A 25766-nucleotide genomic window follows, 5' to 3' on the forward strand; every position below is an offset into this window, starting at 1 on the left:
AAGAAGGGTGGATCACCTGAGGTCAGGAGTTCGAGACCAGCCTGACCAACATGGTGAAACCCTGTCTCTACTAAAAATTCAAAAATTAGCTGGGTGTGGTGGTGTGCGCCTGTAATTGCAGCCACTCAGGAGGCTGAGGTAGGAGGATTGCTTGAACCCGGGAGGTAGAGGTTGCAGTGAGCCCAGATCGCACCACTGTACTCCAGCTTGGGCGACACAGTGAGACTCTGTCTCAAAAAATAAAAAAAAAACATAAAATAATACAAAATCTATTTATATTTGTATTATACTTTAACTCTTTTGTTCTCCTGCCTATAATGTGTCAAAGTCTCTACTTGAGTGAAGTCCATCACAATATTTAGCTAAAAACCTGTAACTTGTTAAAATTAACAAGTGACATGGCTGAGCGCAGTGGCTCATGCCTGTAATCCCAGCACTCTGGGAGGCTGATGTGGACAGACCATGAGGTCAGAAGATCGAGACCATCCTGGCTAACATGGTGAAACCCCGTCTCTACTAAAAATACAAAAAATTAGCCGGGTGTGGTGGCACGTGCCTGTAGTCCCAGCTACTCAGGAGGCTGAGGCAGGAGAATCGCTTGAACCTGGGAGGCGGAGGTTGCAGTGAGCCGAGATAGTGCCACTGCACTCCAGCCTGACGACAGAGTGAGATTCCATCTCAAAAAAATAAAAAATAAAAAAAAAATAAAGTGACACAATAGTTACTTAAATATATTTGCTGTAAAATCAAGTGATATATTTCATAAGAATCTTCTATGTAAAATAACTGATTAAATTTCTCAAAACATCCTCAATAACGATTCATAATTTTAAAAAAATGTTGGGTTTGGACAATAAGAAGCTACCAAAAAATATAAAAACCATACCATTTCCCATCCTCTTGTTCCAAAAAGGATTTGAGGTACTTATGGTGTACCATTAGATGCCTCCTAAAATATTCATATTTAAAAAGATTCTTAGATTCTGCCATTAAAGATGTTCTAAAATAATACCCCTAAAATATCCATATTTCTCTCAGGAATGCTTTTGTCCCAACTTCCACATTTCTCTTATTCATTCCTTTAAGATGCAGTTCAAATATCATCTCATCTTTTAAAAGTCTCCCTTTGGGCTTTAAATTAGGAGACAGGAGACAGTTACCCACATTAGAAACTTTTGCTATAATTTATAAAAGGATTCAAACACACTTGGTTTTTTTTTTTTTTTGAGACGGAGTCTTGCTCTTGTCGCCCCATGTTGGAGTGCAATGGTGCAATCTTGGCTCACTGCAATTTCTGCCTCCCGGGTTCAAGTGATTCTCCTGCCTCAGCCTCCTGAGTAGCTGGGATTACAGGTGCCCGCCACTATGCCAAGCTAATTTTTTGTATTTTCAGTAGACACAGGTTTCGTCATGTTGGCCAGGCTGGTCTTGAACTCCTGACCTCAAGTGATTCAGCCGCCTTGGCCTCCCAAAGTGCTGAGATTACAGGCGTGAGGCCCTGTGCCTGGCCCACACTTTGTTACATAGTCGGTTTTGTGTGCATGATTGTTTGGTTAAAAAATTTTACATACTACTTTTCAGAAATTAAAGTCACAGTTATTATATAAAATAACAGACAACTGTCATCATATGCATTCCTGGAGATTATAATTTATCCCTTATCCCATTAGGGAAATTCTGAAACTAGAATCTGCTAGTAAAGACATTCTAATTCTCTCTTAACTCTTTGCTCTTTTCATTCTAATCTTTCTGGGTAATTCACTTAGTGGTCTTATGAGGAGGAAGCTGGTGATCTACGCAAATATAACTCCCTCTGGAGTTAGTGCTTCTCTTGTCAGGGATGACACTAGTTTTCAAATGAAGGTGGCTTATAGTAAGAAATTAAATTTTTACTTTAAGTTTATACTAGCTGTTTGCTAACTTCTGAACACTGGAAGTTATTTATCTGGTTTCAGTGGCTGGGAAAACCAATTTAAAATTTATTGGCCAAGATGATATACACTTAGAACAACACTATCCAAGTATTCTTCATAAAGGAAAATCAATAATCAATTTTATTCTAAAATGACAAATAATACCAGCTTTTAAGACAATGTAGGCAAGTATTTTTGTTTTGTCTTGAATGTTACAAATATCTTGAAGATATCTATCAATAAATTAAGAATATTGCAAACAAGAAACAACCCAAATGACCAGCAACAGATGAAGAGATAAACTGCGATATATTCACACAATGGAATACTTCTCAATACTCTACAGATACAGACAGCAACATGGATGAAATCTCAAAACAATTATGAAGAGTGAAAGAAGCCAAACCAAAAACAGTACATACCAGCTGGGTGCGGAGGCTCATACCTGTAATCCCAGCACTTTGGGAGGCCAAGGCGGGCGGATCACCAGGTAGGTCAGGAGTACGAGATCAGCCTGACCAACATGGTGAAACCCTGTCTCTACTAAAAATACAAAAATTAGCTGGGTGTGGTGGTGCGCACCTGTAATCCCAGCTACTCAGGAGGCTGAGGCAGGAGAATTGCTTGAACCCAGGAGGCGGAGGTTGCAGTGAGCCGAGATCACGCCACTGTACTCCAGCCTGGGCGACAGAGCAAGACTCCATCTAAAAAAAAAAAAAAAACTAAAAAAACAGTATATACCATATGATTACATTTATATAAAATTCTAGAAAGTGCAAACTAGTCTATAGTCACAGAAAGCAGATGACTAATTGCCTAGAAACTGGGGAGGAGGGAGGCAGGAGGTAGGATCATAAAAAGGTATGAGGAAACTTTGGGTGTGATAAATAGGTTCATTATTTTGATTGTGGTGATGGTTTCATGGCTGAATATATATATGTACAAAATATATGTCAAAATTTATCAAGTTATGCATTTTAAATATGTGCAGCTTATTGTATATCTATTATATCTCAATAAAAGTTAGAAAATAATGTGACAATTAAAACCTAATATGGTCAAAAGCAACCCATTCATATGATAATGGCATGATTTATCTAGCATTCTTAACCTAAAAAGTCAGAATCCTAAAATGTGCCTTCCCCCAATACCTGGACTTCAACAATCTTCTTTTTTTTTTTTTGAGACAGAGTCTCCCTCTGTCGCCCAGGCTGGAGTGCAATGGTGCGATCTCGGCTCACCCCAACCTCCACCTCCCAGGTTCAAGCTATTCTCCTGCCTCAGCCTCCCAAGTAGGTGGGATTACAGGTGTGCACCACCACACCTGGCTAATTTTTGTATTTTTTAGTGGGATAGCTGGCCATGTTGGCCAGGCTGGTCTCGAACTCCTGACTTCAGGTGATCCGCCCACCTCAGCCTCCCAAAGTGCTGGGATTACAGGTGTGAGCCACCACACCTGTCCTTGGACTTCCACAATCTAACACACTCCACAACATTCACTGTCTGTACCCAAGACTGTCATGCCTACCAACTCTAAGTTTTATATGACAGCAGGGATTTTTGGAGTCACTAGGATTTAGTACTATGCCTGAAAAACTGTAGATATTCATGTGTCACATGAATAAACCACATTATCTGTTTTACAAATCTGTCTTCTGTTTTAGACTGAGTTTTATTGGGAGAGAGAGCTCATATTGTTTATTCTGCATTCCCGGAGTCCTCACACAGGTAACTGTTCACTGGATAAATAAATGTACAACACTGTTAGTTTCACACTTAATTCTGAAAACATAGCTTAAACTTTAATTTATACACAAGAATATGTTAAGGCAGGGGTTTGCAACCCCCAGTCCACTGACTGGTACTGGTCTGTGGCCTGTTAGGAAGTGAGCGGCACAGCAAATGAGTGGTGGATGAGCAAGCGTTATGCCTGAGCTCTGTCTCCTGTTAAGATCAGCAGCGGCATTAGATTCTCAAAGGAGCACAAACCCTACTGTGAACTGCACATGTGAGGGATCTAGGTTGTATGCTCCTTACGAGAATCTAATGCCTGATGATCTGAGGTGGAACAGTTTCATCTTGAAACCACCCCTCCACCCCCAATCCTTGACATTGTCTTCCACAAAACCAGTCTCTGGTACCAAAAAGGTTGGGGACTGCTGTGTTAAGGTATTAACATAATTGGAAATATTAATATTTTAAAACACTACAATTCTCAGAGACATTGGGGGTGGTTTTAATAAAACCAGAAAGCTTTTTAAAATGGGGAATAGATATTTCCTCAAATGTAAGACTAAGCATTCAAATTTACATATCAATTCATACTACAGTCCTTAATGACGAGTATTTTATTTTTTATTTTTTTGAGACAGAGTCTCACTCTATTGACCAGGCTGGAGTGCAGTGGTGTGATCATAGTTCACTGCAGCCTCAACCTCCTGGGCTCGTGTGATCCTTCTAACTCAGCCTCCCAAGTAGCTGGAACCACAGGCACATGCCACCAGCCCGGCTAATTTTTTTATTTTATTTTTTAATAATAATAAAAATCCTCCTATTTTAGTGATAGGGTCTCACTATGTTGTCCAGGCTGGTCTTGAATTCCTAAGCTCCAGCAATCTTCCTGCCTTGGCCTCCCCAAGTGCTGGGATTACAGAAGTGAGCTACCATGCCTGGCCAATAACTAGCATTTTTAAAAATATTATACAGGTTGGGCAAGGTGGCTCATGCCTGTAATCCCAGCACTTTGAGAGGCCCAGGTGGGAGGATCACATAAGGTCAGGAGTTTGAGACCAGCCTGGCCAACATGGTGAAACCCCGTCTCTACTAAAAATACAAAATTAGCCAGGCGTGGTGGCACATGCTTGTAGTCCTGGCTACTTGGGAGGCTGAGGCAGGAGAATCACTTGAACCCAGGAGGCGGGGGTTGCAGTACCCGGGAGGTGGGGGTTGCAGTGAGCTGAGATCGCACCATTGCACTGCAGCCTGAGCAACAGAATGAGACTCTGTCTCAAAAAAAAAAAAAAATTATACTATTTCTTAGACAGTAAACAGATCAGAAAGCATTTCCAGCTCTTACCCAGTCAGCGTTTTTCAGCTCTTCCAAGTCTGTGCTAGATTCATCGCTCTTTTCCATTTCTTGAATCTTCTTAAGATTCTACAGGTTAAAATAATACAGGCATAAACATTTCATTAAGTTATCTTCTCAAATTAAAATTCCTAACATATCTTCAGATAAGACATATATTCAAGTACCAGTGAAGGAGATGGTACAGAATCTATTGCTCCGTAAACTCTAGGGCCAATTAAAATGGAACCCTGAGGATCCATTTTACTGAGGATGGACGGAGATTGCTCACTCTAATTTCCTTTCAGGCCCTGCCAACACAACTTTCTTTTTCTTTTTTTTTTTTTTTTTAACTTAAGCTCTCTTCTTTTCATCTCTACTACAAATCCATTACTCTAAACACCATCATATTTTGCCTGGGCTTCTGAAGCAATCTGATCCCGGATGCTCTCCTTTCCTCACCCCATGGCTGGTCTCTTTCATTGTCTACTTTCATTCTTCCTTTCAGATATCACACTCAACAGAATCATCGATTCTTCAGAGAAGCCTTCCCTTCCTCCCTGAATAAGTCAAAATCCTCCTATTTTAAAATTTTATAGCACCATTATACCTCTAACAGCTCTTATCAACATTGTAATTTTACACATATTAGTGCCTTCCCTCTAGACTTCATGAGGCAGAATCCCATCTTCAGAGGCCACACAAGCACTGGCACTTGCTGATGCTCAATATATATTTATCAAGTAATTTGATGAGTACATTTTAATTGATAAAAATGCCTCAAACTGCATCAATTCAACACTTGCAACTTTAAGAAAATCTTGGTTGCTAAAATATATTCACATATTAATTCTAAATTTATGATACAGCAATTCTACTTACAGTAATTCAACCCTAATATATTTACTTTTTGCTGAGCTATGTGCCTGCCTGCACTTAAACTGAGTTTTAAAAAAATTTTTCCCTAATCCCCACGTTGATCAAAAGACTGTTTAAATGCACTGTATGAAATCTAGCTTGTTTTATATGAGAATAATGAATACTTAACTTTATTTATTTATTTATTTATTTATTTATTTATTTATTTATTTATTTATTTGAGGTGGAGTTTTGCTCTTGTTGCCCAGGCTGGAGTGCAATGGTGCAATCTCAGCTCACTATAACCTCTACCTCCCGGATTCAAGCGATTCTCCTGCCTCAGCCTCCCGAGTAGCTAGGAGTACAGGCATGCGCCACCACGCCTGGCTAATTTTGTATTTTTAGTACAGACAGGGTTTCTCCATGTCGGTCAGGCTGTTCTCAAACTCCTGACCTCAGGTGATCCACCCGCCTCGGCCTCCCAAAGAGCTGGGATAACAGGCATAAGCCACTGCTCCCGGTCTGAAATATTTATTTTTAAGATTTATTTATTTATTTTTAGAGACAGGGTCTTCCTCTGTTGCTCAGGCTGGAGTGCAGTGATGCAATTACGGCTCACTGCAGCCTCCACTTCCTGGGGCTCCAGTAATTCTCCCAGCTTAGCCTCCCAAGTAACTGGCACTACAGGTGTGCACCCCTATGCCTGGCTAATTTTTGTATTTTCTACAGATAGGGTCTCACTATATTGCCTGGGCTGGTGTCGAACTCGTCAGCTTGCGATCCCCTTGCCTCAGCCTCCCAAACGGCTGGGATTATAGCCTTGAGTCACCACACTTTACCTCATCTCCTACTATTTCTTCCCACTCCAGCCTTATGGTATGCACACTGGCTGCCACCTTCTTCCTAGAATGCTTTACATCTCAAATATCCAGACTGAATCACCTCATATCTGTTACACACTTGTGCAAACGTCACCTTCTCAACGGGGTCTATCTTGACCAAATTCCAAGCCCCATCCCCAGCTACTAGCAGTTACTCTAGTTTATGTCTTTTTCCATAGCTCTTCCTACCTTTTAGTGGTCTACAGAATGTACTTATTTCATATGTTTACTGTCTACCACCTCCTGCTGGATTCAGACTTTAGGAAAGAAGAATTTTTTTTTTTTTGTATTTTGTTCACTGATGGGATTCACAAATCTCCAGAATAGCCTTGCATAGAATAGGTGCTTAGTAAATATTTCTTCATTAAGTAGATTAAGACACTTTCAACCATGCATGTTTAAATACTTAAACCTATTTAATAGCCCTTACCAAGTCAACTTTAGTAAGAGGAAGCTCAATCAGAGGGAGTAATATTCAGAGAAAAATCTATGTTCTCCTCTAAATTCAGAATCCCCTAGGGAAGTTGGGGAGCGGTATCTTATCTGCCACACAGAAACACATGCTCTGCGTTTTAGGAAAATAAATCTTCAACCCAGGCTCACATTACATTTAAGTGTCTCATTCAGCCAATAGGTGGATGAATAAATAGGTAAAATAAAATAAAGAAGAAAAAGAAATGCATTTCTAATACCATACAGAAGAAAAGAGGTAATTATAGTATTAAACAGGTCAACAAGATTCAACCAGCATCAAATAAGCTGGTTTGGAACCTTAGCGCCTGAGAAAATCAAGTACGCATAAATGGACCAACCTTCTAACAACCCTCCTTTCCTTAGACATAATGGAATGTGGGGTGGGGCTGACACATGCCCACTTGGAAACACGTTCTTTCTGCCATATTCTCCCTTGTCACCCAAAGGCTGATCCCACAGAAGCAATATACTGCTTACCCAGGAGCTTATAAACCATAAAAATATGAAAAAAGCTGAAATCATGATGAATAAACTCATCTTTATAAGCCCATACTTTTTTCTTTTTTTTTTAAATTCCAGACCAGGTGCAGTGACTCATGCCTATGATCCCAATATTTGGGGAAGCTGAGGCATGAGGACTGCTTGAGGCCAGGAGTTGAAGACCAACCTGGGCAACACAGTAAGACCCTGTCTCTCCAAAAAAACCAAAAAATTAGCCGGGTGTGGTGGCGCTTGCCTGTAGTCCCAGCTACTCAGGAGGCTGAGGTAGGAGAATCACTTCAGCCTGGGAGGTTGCGGCTACAAGTGAGCTAAGATCACACCACTGCACTCCAACCTGGGCGACAGAGAGAAACCCTGTCTCAAAAAAATAAAACAAAATATTAATAAAACAACAGATAAACATGACATATTTTCCTGGAATTAATGTAATGAAAGCTGTGGTAAGCTGCCCTCTGTTTCAGGAACAACGTCCTCTTCCACTAGTGGCTAGAGATGTCTGCTAAAGGCTCACTACTTAACCCTCCTCAGGAACTGCCCTTTAGCCAAAGGAAGCTGCTTTGTCAAAGTTACATCCTCCCTAGAGTAACCTATATCCAGTCACTGGTCTGTGAGGAAGTACAAAGATCAGGCCTCCTTGCTTCAATTTGGGACATCTCTGAAGAACCACCCCTAGCTGCTGAGCTCCCTGTGGGATCGGCTGAGGCCTCTGCTGCATCTGCATCACATTTCAACATTTCCCTCTGCTCAATCCTGCTTTCCTTATTCCTTATAGGTGTTCCCAAAAGCATGCCCCAATAAAACCTCCTGAATTCAAATTTTACCCCTAGGAGTCTCCCAGGGAAATCCTAGGGGAGCTTAATCCACAGCATGAAACATTAAAAAAATATTACAACAGACATCTCAGACAAAACTTACATGAATTTCAAAAGTAAAATCCACTATGTCAAAGATATTTTAACTTGCACTAGACGAGCAAGTCTTCAGTGGACAGCATTAATTTTTCAAGAAAGCCTCCCTGCTCCTTCCTCTGATAAAGATCCTTCTGTTGAGAAATGCATCCCATACGGTTTGAGCAGGGCTGACCCAGTACCTCACTTCCTATTTACAAGCGTAAGAACATGACCTAGACCAGCCAGCACAGCCTATCTCCTGGCCACTGTGACTGGTTACTAAGTGGGTATATGACTCCAAATCTTCCTCTAAGACTTTTTTGCCCCAATTAACAGAAAAGATTTGCTGCCAGAGTTCTAAATTGATAGAGTGTGAGAATAGGGCTGCAGACGGTAGTAAGAGACTGTCCTGGAAAGGGTTGGAGAGGAAAGGGAGGGAGCATGCCAGCCCTAATTACAGCCTTTGAGATTCTGGATCCAACTATGCCTAAAACTAGCTGTACCCTTAGACTTCCTAATTATGTGAGCCAATACATCTCTCCCCTACTCTGCCCATGCTTATTTGAGTGGGTTTCTGTCATCTGCAACTGAAAGTTACGATTTAATATGTCCTTAATAGTCTACAAATATGAGTTCATGCTTTTATGTCTTAGGGGTACTTTGGTAGAATAGTGTGAGAAGCAGCAAAATATATTCAATCCAAACTCTTTTGCTTCAATGCCCCCCAAAACAGGGCCCCTTTTCCACCCAACCTTAATTTTTACTATTCTCCGACACATCCCTGACTAAATGTAGTCAGGAGGGTGTCACTGTTAGGCCTGCCTACATCTCTACCTTTATTTGTGCTGTGATCAAATCCCTCACTCATTGCCACTAAGAAAAACTATCTGTTCTTTATAACATTGAAGACAATTGAAATGGTCCAAGAATTTCACATTTCTTTGTTTTTCTGAACAATAGCACAAACTGTAGCTCAGATACTTTCCAGCTGCGTGACTTTGGGGAAATTTTTAAATTGCTGTAATCCTGTTTGATTTTCTCATATATTAAAGTGCAAATAATAATAGCTATCTTTTGGATTTTATAGAAGAAATATACCAGAAGAATACAGATGAAACACAGCATTCAGTTCAGACCATATTGAACATTCAGTAGGTATTAGTTATTATGTCAATGAATACCTATGAGGATTTGATTGTGAATACTTTTACTCCATCACAAAAATATTTTATACTAAGTGAATTTGTTTTGCAAAATGATACCTCTCCTTAGCCTCTTCATCAAATCAAAATCCTGACTCAGCAATAAATCAATGTAGATAGCTTAGAATCTATAAATACTGTAATCAAACAAGCTTGATCAAATATGTGGCTAGAAAGCTCAATTTTTCTAGTTAGCAGTAAAAACAAATGAGTTATTTGAAAGTAAATTACAGATTTTTCTTGTTTTAGATTCAAGCTGTCAATTATACTTTAGCTTCTGAATGATTTTTCTTTTTTTTGCTTGCAGAAATGTAATAACAGATGTCAACCTGTGCTTGAGATATGGTGAGAAAGTTCTAATTGGGAGAACCCACATGGCAATTACGCTTCCCATTTCTGACATTACCATTCTCAAGCTGGCAATTAGAACTGCTCAATGCCAACATTTTCAGTTCCTGGCAACTTAAAAAACAAAATCTACTCTGTGAATCAGAAGTATGTCAAATGCTCAGAGAATAATTTTAATCCATTTGTGTAGGTTCAACATCAGCTCACATATAAGTACCCCTTTACTAATTAAATCCTTCTTATTCACATATATGTTCATATATTAAAATAATAATGTATTTTTTATGACAGCATTTTAATGATCACCATTTCCACCATTTAAACTATCTTATTTCCCTATGCCATGTGTACATGTTTTCAGTTAGACATTTTTAAATGCATTATAATAAGGAATATATTTCAAAAATTCCTTGAACAAACTTTTAATTAATTGTTGAGACCGAGTCTCACTCTGTTGACCAGGCTGGAGCAGTGGTGTGATCATGGCTCACCGCAGCCTCAACTTCCTGGGCTCAAGCAATCCTTTCACCTCAGCCTCCTGAGCAGCAGGGACTACAGGCATGTACTACCACACCTGGCTAATTTTTGTACTTTTAGTAGAGACAGGGTTTTGCCATGTTGGCCGGGCTGATCTTGAACTCCTGGGCTCAGTGGTCTGCCCGTCTTGGAGTCCCAAAGTGCTGGGATTATAGGCGTGAGCAACCACACTGGGCAACATTTTTAATAACTCAGTTAAAATATGCTAATGTAGGCCAAGTATGATGGCTCACAACTTTAATCCCAGCACTTTGGGAGGCTGAAGCAGAAGGACTGCCTGAACCTGGGTGTTGGAAGTGCAGTGAGCTGTGATTGCATCACTGCATTCCAGTCTGGGCAAAAGAGCAAGACCCTGTCTCACACACACAAAAAAAAAAAAGAAAAGAAAAAAGCAACAAATTACTGCCAGGCACAGTGTCTCATGCCTGTAGTCCCAACTACTCGGGAGGCTGAGGTAGGAGGATTGCTTGAGGCCGGGAGGCAGAGGTTGCAGTGAGCTGAGATTGCATCACTGCATGAGATTACCCCAGCATAGGTGACAGAGCCTGACCCTGTCTCAAAACAAAAACAAAAACAAAAACAAAACAAAAAAAAACAAAGAAATTACTTACATAAAGAGTATTAAATACATTTCATGACTGACATTATTTCACAATATTGTCTATAATAAATTAAAAAATGAATATCAGCCACACAGATTATGAGCTATGACTTTTTAATTCAAATATATTTTATCTGAAAAGAGGGAAAGAAGATTTTATCACATTGACTAGTCCCAAATTAATATTTCAGAAATTAGGGTACAAAAACCCAGTAAAAAGTTATAGCAGTTGTTCTGATAACTGGAAGTCTCCCATGCAGAGTTAATGGATAAGTACTAAAGAATATGATTTATATTTGTGTCAAACTTTATGGTGCATTCTTAAAGATATAACACGCTTCTCCTCCCTGAGGGGTGGATGGTGGCCAAGTAACAACTATAGCAATTATGAAAAAAGTCAAGAGCATTTTATTGAATAAAAAATGTAAAATGTTAAACTATAAATTGATATTCTGTACTACTTAATTCGAATTTATATGGTTCACTACAGAAATTAGAAAAACTATAGATGAAGTCATAAAAATGAAAGCAATTCATTTCTAGGTTCTAGGAAAGGAATTCCTAGAATTCCTCTATTCTTCCAGTATTTTTTGTACCTATACACACATGTGCACACACGCACGCACACACACACACGCAAACACTCTCTCTCTAACAAATGTCTCTGCTCTATACAGCTGGACTGACTCCGCTCTACATAGCTGGACTGACTCTGCTCTACATAGCTGGACTGACATTATCTGCTAATACACATTCACCTTTTCTGTTTTTATACTCATCAGCTCTTCACACCTATAGAAATGCAGTGATGATGATAAAAATGACCATTAAAATATCACAGACAATATTACAAATTATATCACAAAGTTATTTTCTTAATAAATAAAGACAAATTAATAAGACCAATGGCTCATTAGAAAAATGAACAAAGGAAATGAACAAGCAATTGACAAATGATTCTTAAGTACATGAAAAGATATCTGATCTCATTTACAATAAGACAAATGCAAATTAAAATTGTTAAGATACTAATTTTCACTTATCACTGTGAAAACACATTGTCAAGATGTAGGAGAATAGATAGCCTCACACATTGCTAAGGACAGTATCAACTACTAAACCTCTAGGAAGGACAATAGTGTAATATTTTATAAAAATTATAAATGCACATTTCCTTTGACCCAGCAAGTCTACTTCTAGGAATCTACCTTACACTTATGTTCACACTCAAGAAAAATAGGTTAAAAATTATCCATGACACCACTGTTTGTAATAGAAAAAGAATGGAAATTACTTAGTAGCTGTCAATATAGGACTAGTTAAACTCATTACACCATACCCACAAAATAGATTATAAAGGCCTACAGATGTGAAAGCTATTTACTGATATGAAATGATCTCTAAGACATATAATTAAATAAAAAAGGAAAGTTTAAAAGTGAAAAAAGGAAGAAAATACTGATATGCGCTTGTTAGTTATACATAAAATCTCTCTGCAAAGATAAAAAAGAAATTAATAATATTTGTTGCCCATATATAGGGAGAGTGTGAGTAGTAGACAAAAATAGAAGGGTACAATTTAATGTAATATTTTTACAACTCCTGGGTTTTGAACCACGTGAAATTTTTTGTTAAAAATAAATTAAGTTTTAAAAGCTGCAGGATCTGAAAGGTGGCAGAGTTCTTCCACGAGCTTTCAGTAAAATATTCTTGTGAAACATTTTAACAGGGAGAGCAGCGCTAAGAGCAATGACAGGAGGTCAGAGAGAGATTTACTCCTCCCTGATGAGACACCAGTGCTCGGCATGTTACCAACACTCAAAACAAAAATAACAAATCAAACAGAAAAAAGACAGACAGCAGCAAGGACCCTAAACATTACAAATGATGAATGATCTCATTAAAACGAACACATGGCACACTTACAAAAAGACATCTGGTGGTGGATTTTCTGTCAAAAAGTGGTATGTTCACCACTTGGAGGGATATAAACCTATTTTAGGTCTAGAAAGAAACTTCCAGCCAACTTAAATGCCAGAATTTTATTATTGGAGGTGTTGGCATGAGGTGAGGAATAGGCAAGGAATATGAGAAAGCTGATTAAAATACCCTTCAATCTGTGAATGAGACAGACGTCTTGGGGCTTTTTCTTTGCAAGGCTATTCAAGCAGAAAATAAGTTGAAGTCATGTCACAAACAGGTGTCCCAGTGTGAGTTAGTTAACATGCAATTGGCCCTATGACACTGGCGGATTTGGCTACTGGCTTGATAAGAGATTGGGGGGTGGAAAATACTTACATTTGATTTTTCAACCAATTTACAGACTATAAAATGTGGCTATAAGATTTTAAAAACAGACAAAACCATTTCATAACAGCCTAGTCATTTTAGAAAACACTGTTTTTCCCCCAGCAAAAGAAGATACTTTATATACATGAATATAGTTTTTCATTTTAGGTAAAATATTTTTTAGTTTTATTTAAGATAAACCGAGCTCAATAATTTCATCAAGTTATGATTTCTTGCATAGGGCTAACTGAAATAATATATGTACAGGCATACCTCATTTTACTGCCTTTCGCTTTGTTGTACATAGCAGATACTTTTTTTTTTTTTTTGGACACAGTTTTACTCTGTCGCCTGGGTGGGGTGCAGTGGCACGTGATCTCAGCTCACTGCAACCTCTGCCTCCCAGGTTCAAGGGATCCTCGTGCCTCAGCCTCCCGAGTAGCTGGGATTATAGGCGTGCACCACCACACCTGGCTAATTTTTGTAGTATTAGTAGAGATGGGGTTTCATCATGTCGGCTAGGCTGGTCTCGAACTCCCGACCTCAAGTGATCTGCCCGCCTCAGCCTCCCAAAGTGCTGGGATTACAGATGTGAGCCACCCCATGCCTGGCCAGATATCGTGTTTTTACAAATTGAAGGTTTGCAGCAACCCTGAGTTCGGCAAATCTATTGGTGCCATTTTTCCTAGAGTATGTGCTCACTTTGTATCTTTCTGTCACATTTTGGTAATTCTCACAATATTCCATTTTTTTTTTATTAAATCTGTTATGGAGATCTGTGAGGAGTGATCTTTGATGTTACTATTGTCATTGCTTTGGGGTGCTCATGACAGTGTCCATATAAGACAACAAACCTAATTGATAAATGCGTGTGTTCTGACTGCTCCGCTCACTAGCCATTCCCCCATCTCTCTCCCTCTCCTGGGGCCTCCCTATTCCGTGAGACACAATGATAATTTAATTAGGCCAATTAATAACCCCACAATGGCCTTTATGTGTTCAAGTGGAAGGAAGAGTCATAAGTCTCTCACTTTAAATCAAAAGCGAGAAATGATTAAGTTTGGTGAGGAAGGATGTCAAAAGCAAAGATGGGCTGAAAGCTAGGCTCCTTGCACCAAACAGCCAAGTTGTGAATGCAAAGGACAAGCTCTTAAAGGAAATTAAAAGTGCTACTCCAGTGAACATGAATGATAAGAAGGCACAACAGCCTTAATTCCTGGTATAAAGTTTTAGTGGTCTGGATAGAAGATCAAACCAGCCACAACATTCCCTTAAACCAAAACCTAATCCTAAGCAGGGCTCAAACTCTTCAATTCTATGAAGGCTGAAAAAGGTGAAGAAGCTGCAGGAGGAAAGTTTGAAGCTAACAGAGATAGGTTCATTAGGTTTAAGAAAAAAAGTTGTCATCGCTCGATAAAAGTGCAAGGTGAAGCAGCAAGTGCTGAATGTAGAAGCTGCAGTAAATTATCAAGAAGATGTAGCTAACTGATGAAGGTAGCTACATTAAACAACATATTTTCAATGTAGATGAAACAATTTAATATTGGAAGAAGATACCATCTGGGACTTTCATAGCTAGAGAGAAATCAGTGCTTGGCTTCAAAGCTTCAAAGGACAGGGTGACTCTCTTGTTAGGGGCTAATGTGGGTGATGAAGTTGAAGTCAATGCTAATTTACCATTCTGAAAATCTTAGGGCCCTTAAGAATTATGTTAACTCTACTCTGTCTGTGCTCTATAAATGGAACAACAAAGACTGGATGGCGGCACATCTGTTTACAGCAAAAAAGATTCCTTTCAAAATATTACCACTCATTGACAATGCATTTGGTCACCCAAAAGCTCGATGGTAATATACAAGATTAATGTTGTTTTCATGCCTGCTAACACAACATCTATTGTACAGCCCCATGGACCAAGGAATAATTTTTACTTGCAAGTCATATTTAAGAACTACATTTTGTAAGGCTATAACTGTCATAGACAGTGATTCCTCTGATGGGTTTGGGCAAAGCACATTGAAAACCTTCTGGAAAGGATTCATCATTCTAGATGCCATTAAGAACACTGGTGATTCATGAAAGGAGGTCAAAATGCAACATCAACAGGAGTTTGAAAGAAGTTGATTCCAACCCTCATGGATGACTTTGAGGGGATCAAGACTTCAGTGGAGGAAATAACTGCTGATGTGGTGGAAACAGTCAACAGAATAAGAAGTGGAGCCTGAAGATGTGCCTGAATTACTGCAATCTCATGAGAAAACTTGAACTAATGAGGAGTTGTTTCTTATGGATGAGCAAGGAAAGTAGTTTACTGACATGGAATCAACTCCTGGTGATGATGCTGTGCACATTATTGACATGACAACAAAAGATTTCAAAAATTATATAAATCTAGTTGATAAAGCAGCAGGAGGGTTTGAGAAGATTGACTCCAATTTTGAAAGAAGTTCTACTGTGGGTAATGTGCTATCAAACAGCACTGTATGCTACAATGTATTCTGATTTTTCAGAAAGGGCCAAAGCCACCCTAACCTTTAGCAGCCACCACCTTGATCAGTCAGCAGCCATTAATGTCGGATCAAGACACTTCACCAGCAAAAAGATTACAACTCACTGATGGCTCAGAGGATCACTAGCATTTTGTAGCAATAAAGTATTTTTATTCTTATTTTTTTTTGAGACATAGTCTCACTCAGTTGCCCAGGATGGAGTGCAAAATGGTGTAATCACACCACATGGCAGCCTTGACCTCCCAGGCTCAAGCAATCCTCCTACCTCAGCCTCCTGAGTAGCTGGGTCTACAGGCATGAGCCACCATGCCAGGTTAATTTTTTTAAAAACTATTTTTTGCAGAGATAGGATCTCACTACATTGCCCACTCTAGTCTCAAACTCCTAGGAAGAAAGTATTTTTTAATTAAAGTATGTATTTTTTTGATGTAATGCTATTGCACATTTAATAGACTATAATATACATAAAGATAATTAATTTTGTATGCATTAGGAAACAAAAAAATTTGTATGACTTGCTTTATTGCAATATTTGTTTCATTGCAGTGGTTTGGAATCCAACCCGCAATATCTCTGAGGTATGCCTATAAATCACTTAACAAAGTTTCTCTATATGTATTGGATTATATTGTGTAAAATATACTCATATAATACTTTGAAAAATTCATAAGCCATGCTTATATCCAATTCATTGTTTTACCCCATAATTGTAATGTCTGGTCAAATATTAGCAGCTAAAGATAAACTGGCTCTAATCTGGGCATCTATAATTCATCCTCCCATCCTAGGATTTCATTAAATTTGGGGTAAGATTTAACCATTCAGAAGAATTTGGCCGATGAGGTTTAAACCAAAATCCCATGTAAGTGAGAATCATTTAAACATTTAGAAAATCACAAATTGGCAAAATACTACTTTTAAACAGCATAGCTATTTATACTGATGGGGGGAAAAATGTTTTCTTTTCTCTAGGAAAACTTTAGAAATATTCTGGGAAATGAAAGATCAAAGAAGTCAATTTACTTCTTCAGTATAACAGATTGGAAGGCAAAGATGAATAATTTAACATTTAAGTTTTTCACAGTAAAATGCCGGGATTATAAGGCATGAGACACCGTGCCTGGTGAATTGTGCAGAATTACACATTAAAGTAATAACAGGCAAGGCACAATGGCTCATGCATGTAATCTCAGTGCGTTGGGAAGGTAAGGTGGCAGGATCACTTGAGGCCAGGAGTTTCAGACCAACCTGGGCAGCATAGCAAGACCCCATCTCCACAAAAATAAAAATAAAAAAATCAGCCAACCATGGTGGTGAACACCTGTAGTCCTAGCTACTTGAGATGCTAAGGCAGGAGGAACACTTGAGCCCAGGAGCTAAAGAGCTATGATCACCCCACTACACTCCAGCCTGGGCAGCAGAGTGAGACCGTGTCTCTCTAGGAAGAAGAAAAAAAAAAAGTGGCCAGGCACGGTGGCTCACGCCTGTAATCCCAGCACTTTGGGAGGCCGAGGCAGGCAGATCATGAGGTCAGGAGATCGAAACCATCCTGGCTAACACGGTGAAACCCCGTCTCTACTAAAAATACAAAAAAATTAGCCGGGCGTGGTGGCGGGCGCCTATAGTCCCAGCTACTCAGGAGGCTGAGGCAGGAGAATGGCGTGAACCCGGAAGGCGGAGCTTGCAGTGAGCTGAGATCATGCCACCGTACTCCAGCCTGGGCGACAGAGTGAGACTCCGTCTCAAAAAAAAAAAAAAAAAAAAAATAATAATAATAATAATAATAACAAAGGCTATTATTAAAATTTTAAAAATAAGGATAAAAATTGTTTATCGTGATGCTAGTTAGGTAGAAATGGGAGTTAAAATATATAATACATTAATATAGAAAAAACAAACCTGCTTGTGTTATACATTTTTTAAAATATCAATATTTAATTCAACACTGTTGTCATTTCATCTGTTTAAGAAAATTATACCCCTGAAATTCTTTTCTCTTGCTGCTTTTAGAAAAAAAAAGTTTCACATCAAGCATTTATGGGGGATTGGAGTGGGAAGGAAACAATAAATGAACCTCATTAGTAATTAAAATCAGATCCCATGTGTATAGAACTTCGTGACTATACACACGGGAACCTGCTTCCTCGCTCACACCAGCTTCATCTGGATTAAAAAGCCCCCCAGTAGCCACAGATTTACCAAGATTTCTGTTTTAAAGCAAAAACTATCTTTAAAACAAAGGAGTTCTATTTCTTGAAACCTGAAGAACTAAAGACTAGCTTTTAGTATGTTATAACTCCATCTACTCATTCCTAGCATCGTAAAGATCTTCCCTAGGATGCAGTTCATCTTCTTTGCCATGATGCCTTGCTCATTAGGGGTGTTACAGAGCTCCCTGAGCAATGAGGCTTAGAGATCATCATATGCTCAGAAACTCACTACCTGGAACACAAAGGTTTCCAGTAATACATGCTAAACAAGGGATGAAAGCAGTACAGCAGTCTAGGGTCAGAATACTGAAGATACACACACACACACACACACACACACACACACACACAGAGATGTATCTGATGCCTGCAGAAAGCCATTCAGAGCATGGGTAGTCACAAAACTATAGACTCTTCTGGTGCATCTTCCCATCAGATGCTTGTATAGTATCCCTGCATAGTACCCTCTGAGACAGTGGTCCCAGTGTTTGAGAAGTCACTTCTCCCTCTGCCCTTCTACCTTGCTTGCTCTCATCTCCTGGCCTTCATGTGTGCTGTTTACTATGCCTGGAACACATTTTCCATCCACTATTTTGCCTCAGCATTTGGGTCTCAGCTTCGAAGTTACTTCTGGGAAGCTGTGCATGGTCCCTTTGGTGGCTTCCACAGCACCCTGCACCCACTGGCCACGGCCCTTCTAACACGGTGCTGGATGACATGCTCCTACACTGTCCTCCTTACTCTCTTGAGTTCTGTGAAGGCAGAGATCATGTTCATCTCATTCACCATCGTACCGACAGTGAGAAAGGCAGTAAGAGTAGCACTTAAAACATGGCTTCTGTGAGGACTCAATGAATATTAATGCACATAAAGTCAGAACAGCATTTAGCACAGAGTAAGTATGGAATAAACGTTAGCAGTATTAATCATAGTAGCACCCATTATATGGAAGACATTTTATTTTTTTTAATTTAATTTTTTTTTTGAGAGGAGTCTCACTCACTGTCGCCAGGCTGGAGTGCAGTGGCATGATCTTGGCTCACTGTGACCTCTGTCTCCTGAGTCCAAGCAATTCTCCTGCCTCAGCTTCTCGAGTAGCTGGGATTACAAGCACATGCCACCACGCCTGGCTAATTTTTGTATTTTTAGTAGAGATGGGGTTTCACCATGTTGGCCAGGATGGTCTCAATCTCTTGACATCGTGATCCACCCGCCTCACCCTCCCAAAGTGCTGGGATTACAGGCGTGAGCTACTGCGCCTGGCCACGGAAGACATTTTAAATAACTTGCATGAATAAAATGATTCTCCCAACTGATCCTAGTTCCTCTGACAGCCAGCATCTCTCCATTCACTAGGCTTTGTGATGTCTCCATATGGATATTATGTTCTGTCAAGTCTTCTTCAAAATCCCAAGCTCCTCCACTGTTTCTTCTGTATTAAGGTTTGTAGACACCTCACTCACATCCTGACCTACCTCAAGATCAACTTTTATTGTCTATCATTTGTACAAAGTTAAAAATTAGGTCTAATTTTAAGTCCTTTTATCATCACAGGCAGCTACTTTATTAAGGTTTGTTGAACCGTGCTTCAGTTTTTCTATCTACACGAGTGAGGCAGTGAAGGGTAATACTACCAAACTCACAAGAACATCACAAGGATTAAAGTACTAACATAAACAAAGGATGAGATACCCAGGGTTTATATATAAGGATAGGCCTTTCGGTGAACATGATGTAGGTTGTCTGGGCTTAGAGCTGCTGCAGAAGGCTTTGGATCTTTCTTCCCCCAAGTACATAAATTATATTAGAAATATTTTAAAAATTAATGAAAATAAAGCAGCATTCAATTTCAACCCCCAGCCCTCAGGTTCCCACTTCTGGAGAGCAGAATGAATATGAAGAGGCAGCTGTGTGTCCAGGAGCCCCAGGTGTGCATTAGCTGTGCACCATTCCTGTGCTGCTCCTGGCTCCTGATAACTCCATAATCGGCATCTTAAGGTTGATTCTATTCTCCTCTGTTTCTTCTTGAATAAAAATATGTTGGCCAGGTGCAGTGGCTCACGCCTGTAATCCCAGCACTTTGGGAGGCCGAGGTGGGTGGATCACGAGGTCAGGAGATGGAGACCATCCTGGCTAACACGGTGAAACCCCGTCTCTACTAAAAATACAAAAAATTAGCCGGGCGTGGTGGCGGGTGCCTGTAGTCCCAGCTACTAGAGAGGCTGAGGCAGGAGAATGGTGTGAACCTGGGAGGTGGAGCTTGCAGATTGCGCCACTGCACTCCAACCTGGGTGACAGAGCAAGACTCTATCTCAAAAAAAAAAAAAAAAGTTAAAGGCTTAGAAGACTCCAACTCTAATATTTATTAGGTTAAAAAAACTTAATCTCATTGATGGAGGCCCCAGTGTTACCCTAAGCTGAGGAGGCAGCAAAGGAGACATACCTAAAAAGACTACAAGAGATACTGTCTTGGGTCCCTAAATCTATGACAGGACTGACAGTACAAACATGGTCCTTGCCCTTAAGAAGTTCACAGTCTAGTGGGAGATAAACGTATACAGTAATTACAACACAGTGTCACTGTTGTAAGTGACAGAAAGATGCCAGAGTGGAGTGCTCATTGAATGAACATAGAGAAGAAAGAATGACTTCGATTGGAAAAAGCATTTCAGAATAGTAGATAGACATTTGAGTTAGGTCTTAAGGAGAAGCAGGCATTTTCTAGGTAGCGAAGAGGGGAAAGGGACATTTCAGGTAGGTGCAGAGGCCCTGGACATTCAGGAATGAAGGAAGTGTAGGCAACACCAGCACACATAGGGCAGGGATGAATGGTGAATGAAGAGCCTGGAGAGGTCAGAACTGGGTCAGATTGTGAACAGCTGCCCTGTCATGCTAAGGGGTTTACACTTTCCACCTACAAGTATCAAGAAGTCATGAAAAGGGAAGTAACATTAGAGGGTTTGTCATGGTCCAGGCAAGAGATGTCAAACCAATGCGTGAGGCAAGGTAAGGTAGACACAGTGAGAACACGAGGGAGGCTCTGCATTTTGGAGATAACTGAAGAGCATCAGGGGACCAAGATGCAAGACAGATGGTGAGAAACCAGACCTACAATAGCTAAACCACAGATTCTTTAATTCATTTAACAATGATCAAATATCTACGGAGTCCCCATTACACTGGGATATAACAGTGAATTAGAGAGAAAAGGTCTCTGCCCTCAATGAGATTATATTCTTGTGGCAGACATCAATGAATAAGAAAAGAGACCAACAAAACAACTACAGACCATGATGGCTGCTAAAAGGGAGATAATAGGGCAACGCGATTAAAATGAAAACAGCAGGCTGGGCACAGTGGCTCACGCCTGTAATCCCAGCACTTTGGGAGGCCGAGGCGGGCGGACCACGAGGTCAGGAGATCAAGACCATCCTGGCTAACATGGTGAAACCCCGTCTCTACTAAAAATACAAAAAATTAGCCGGACGTGGTGGCGGGCGCCTGTAGTCCCAGCTACTCTGGAGGCTGAAGCAGGAGAATGGTGTGAACCCGGGAGGTGGAACTTGCAGTGAGCTGATATTGCGCCACTGCACTCCAGCTTAGACGACAGAGCAAGACTCCGTCTCAAAAAAAAAAAAAAGGGCAGTATGTGCTGAATATATAAAGGTGTCTGGGGTGGCCTGAGGAGATGTCCTTTCAGCTGAGGTATGAAGGGTGTGAGTGAAAAAATCATACTTGAAAGGGTCAAGGAAGACAACACTTATAAGAAGCGTTTAATATGTCAAGAAACTAAGCACCGCAGGTACAGCCACACTTGAGAAGAGTGCAAAGATCATTATAATCAGATAATCAGAAATGACAACCCACACCTGTAGAGCCTACTGCTGAAGAAATCCAAGATGAGTTAACTGTATTAGACATCTTATCTCTCAAAGATCAAAATGTTTGAAATATTCTACCTTAATTTGGGTGATGTTTATGTGTATGAATGACACAAGAAAGTGCAAGAGGAAGAGAAAATTTTCATCACTTTGAGTACATAATCTAGAGAACAGAGATTAGGACATTAAAAACCTATTTTACATGCCTTATAAAGTTCTTGCTGCAATATCATGAACACATGCTATACAATGCACAATTATTTTCACTGTTCATTCACTGATGACTAATGTTACTGTATTACGAATTTATTCTGTACAAGGATTTTCTACCAGTAGATTGTGAAAATAATTTTATTTTTAGCCTATACTGACATCAATATAGTAGTAATGTCAGTATTGAATGTTACAGCTAGCTTACCAATTTTAAAAAGTTAAATCTGTGTTTTTAAAAGGCCTACAGCATCCTCAATTTTGATTAATTTATCTACAGCATTGAACTGCTTTTCTGTAAAATCTATCTCAAATTTAAGATATAAAATAAAATAGTATACAATAATTTCATAGAAAATTCTACCAGGAATGCACTTACTTATCTATATACACTTTGCCTACAACGTAAGACTAATAACAAAAATGAGGAAAAGCTTGTTGAATAAATAGAACAAAAAATTTAGTCACGCAAATTTTATTTTCTGCATAAAATTTTAAGACTAGACGGAAGCTTAACATGTCTTGCCTCCTCCCCGATTTTTATGTTTTTAGAGACAGGGTCTCACTCTATTACCAAGGCTGGATGGAGCACAGTGGTGAGATCATAGTTCACTGCAGCCTTAAACTCCCGGGCTCAAAAGATCTTCCTGTCTCCGCCTCCCAAGCAGCTAGGATTCCAGGATTCTATGATCTTGCTATGCTTCTCAGGCTGGTCTCAAAACACCTGGTCTCGGCCTCTCAAAGTGCTGGGATTACAGAAGTGAGCCACTGAGCGCCAGGCCTTCCTCCCCATTTTTAAAGATGAGTAAACAGAAGTCTTGCAAATGCTATTTGATTTTAAGAAGTTACATGAATAATGAATGGTATGATTCACCAATAAAGGGGCTTTTACAAAGGTCAGTGGTAATATAAATATTTCAAATTATGAAATAAATAAAAAATGAGTTATTTGCTTTAAAGAAAGCTTTCAAAAAATTCTTTTAAAACAGTGTACTCTTATGATACATCAAGTTTCTACTATAATATCATTATACCCCTACTATGAAACAGTGTATTACTGGAGAATTTGGTGAGCATACTGCACACTCTCAACGTGGAGGCAATGATGGCTAGAGCATGCTAGGAACGTATCAGAAAAAAATCAACTGACTTTCTAGTCTTAAAATTATTTTATCTCAGTCTTTGACACTTCTATGATACTCTATCTTTTCTCATTTCACATCTCCCTCTTTATTTATTTGTTTATTTTATAGATAGGGTCTTGCCTTGTTGGCCAGGCTGGTCTTGAACTCCTGGCTTCAAGTGATCCTCCTGCCTTGGGCTCCCAGAGTGCTGTGATTACAGGCATGAGCCACTGTGCCTGGCCTCCCTCTTATTTCATACCTCAACTTTACATGGTACCCCCCCATCCCATTTATGTGCATATGCAGGACCATCATCCCCTAACACCAGCATGTGCATGCCCACACATTCTCTCATAAACTCTCTTCTCTCCAAAGCCAAATCTTAGTCTTTCTGACTCACATATTCTCTCTCCAGAACTGCTCAGAAACCTACATCAAAGTATCTACCTCCATTTTCTTCAGAACTCTCTCTTTAGTTTCATCTAATAATGCATTTTATGTGACACTCTTAGAGGAAAATAGCAATAACTTCTATGTAGTGGAACACCTTTGCCGGACTGAAGGGTATGATGAGGATGAAAATGCTGTTATCAGCAGCACTGAGAACTTACTTCTATGTGAATCTCTAATCTCTCTAAGCCTCAGTTTACTAATTTGCAAAGAGTCACAGGATTGTTACAAGGATCAAATGGAGTAAGGAAGAGAAGGCATTTTATAAAGGAGCTGTATGAATATGACAGTAAAGTAGCAGGGGTTAAAGTTTTAGGTAATGATAAATAATTTTATTTAACAATAACAAAACTGGGGACTGATGATCAAAAAATTACCTGGACCACAATAGATTAAAGGATACTACCATTAATATAATTTCATTTTCTCCAATAAAAAATTTTACAATTGAAACTGCCCCCTCTGCACAGCACAGGCTCACCAGCTACCCCTGCAGTATGGCTCTGGAATATGGTGGTGTCACTGGCAGCAGGGCAGGGTGGCTCTTCTTTCATACAACCTGATGCACTCGATGGATTGCTTAGACAGTGCCTCCAGCTATACTTAACTTACAAGGATATCAAATTTCTTAGGAGACACAGTAATGTGTACTTATTTTCAAGGATATCACATTGCTTAAGAGACAAAGTAACAGCAGGCCTACCCAAATCTTTATCATTAAAAGAATGACCTTAAAGGAGTTCATTGGTTGTTTAAGAAGAAAATCATCACATCATGAAAGGGATTAGAATATAAACAAATTTGCTTTCTAAATAAATAGATGATGAACCAGATACTGTGCTTTATAAAGTAGCCAGGTTCAGTAAATGCACTTAACACTTTACAGAACAAGTATAACATTGGAAAACAGATGGTAGATTTTATATTTTAATAAATTGCCAATTTGCCATATAAGAAATTTAGTATAATTAAAGTACTTTTGGACTATCAAATCAGACACATTATCAGTAACTGAGCTCAAGTGTTCTGACACTATGCTTCCACCCCAATTTATATGCATTCATGCACACACATATACACAGATATAAGGTAGTTTGAAAAATTGTTGATACTCAATTTTTAATTTCGTTGAATCAGTCTATTGTTTCAAAAATTCCACTTGGTACACACTAACTCATAGGTATAAAGAATGATTCTTAAAATATATTAAGTATTTTGGGATCTTCCGAAAAAAGTCAAATTAACAAATAGTATTTATTAGTGTGAAAACAGTATTTTTGAGAAAAGGCTGAAACCATTTACATACATAAACTAACATGTATAAAAATGTTCTATCATTTCAAGAAAACCTTATACATTGCAGAGGTGAAAGAAACTTACATTCCTGAAACCTGAGTGTTGATAGGCAATTTATGTGCTTTCTTTGTCTAGGAAGTCACTCAAGATGAGAGAAGTGATGACAGGAGCTTCAAAGGAAGAAGGGTGTTTCAACAAGGATGAAGGCTGATTACTGGCAGGCAGCAGAGGAGAGACAGAATATTAGCAAACCCACCTCAATCGAAACAGGGAGATGTAGAGGAGAGATCGGCTTCCCGCAGGAGGAAAGCAAGAGAAAGCACTACCCTTAGGGGAACAAGTGTTGTCAGAAGAGCCTGAGGGGACTCTTTTCAAAATGGAGTGCAGTTTCCAGAGAAGACTGGGAAAGGGTGAGATGGAGATCAACGGAGTAGAAACAGAGGAGAAGGAGATATGAAAACAGGATGGAACTAATGCCTATAAAGTCCTAGTCTTGGGGTGGTGACAGAGTGAGAGATGTGGCTGGA

At 39.4% G+C, this 25766-nt stretch overlaps 1 protein-coding gene across 14 annotated transcripts in view, besides 1 other annotated feature; it reads right to left on the minus strand.

Moving 5' to 3' along the window:
* SPIRE1 (spire type actin nucleation factor 1) overlaps nt 1–25766 on the minus strand; it is a 215580-nt gene that overhangs the window by 60953 nt on the left and 128861 nt on the right. For all 14 annotated transcript variants that reach the window (NR_197429.1, NM_001394323.1, NM_020148.3 and 11 more), the window contains one exon: nt 4990–5067. Coding sequence is in view for 13 of the 14 variants with exons in the window: in NM_001394323.1 (NP_001381252.1) it covers nt 4990–5067 (78 nt within the window). In the remaining variant the exon portion in view is untranslated. The remainder of the gene's footprint in view (nt 1–4989; nt 5068–25766) is intronic.
* Nucleotides 21093–21293: a silencer, noted in NCBI's record as "peak3058 fragment used in MPRA reporter construct". NCBI's record gives its function as "represses an SCP1 promoter by STARR-seq MPRAs in K562 erythroleukemia cells {active_cell/tissue: K562}" and the evidence as "EXISTENCE:reporter gene assay evidence [ECO:0000049][PMID:32103011]".

Source organism: Homo sapiens, chromosome 18, assembly GCF_000001405.40.
Source record: "Homo sapiens chromosome 18, GRCh38.p14 Primary Assembly".
NCBI lineage: Eukaryota > Metazoa > Chordata > Mammalia > Primates > Hominidae > Homo > Homo sapiens.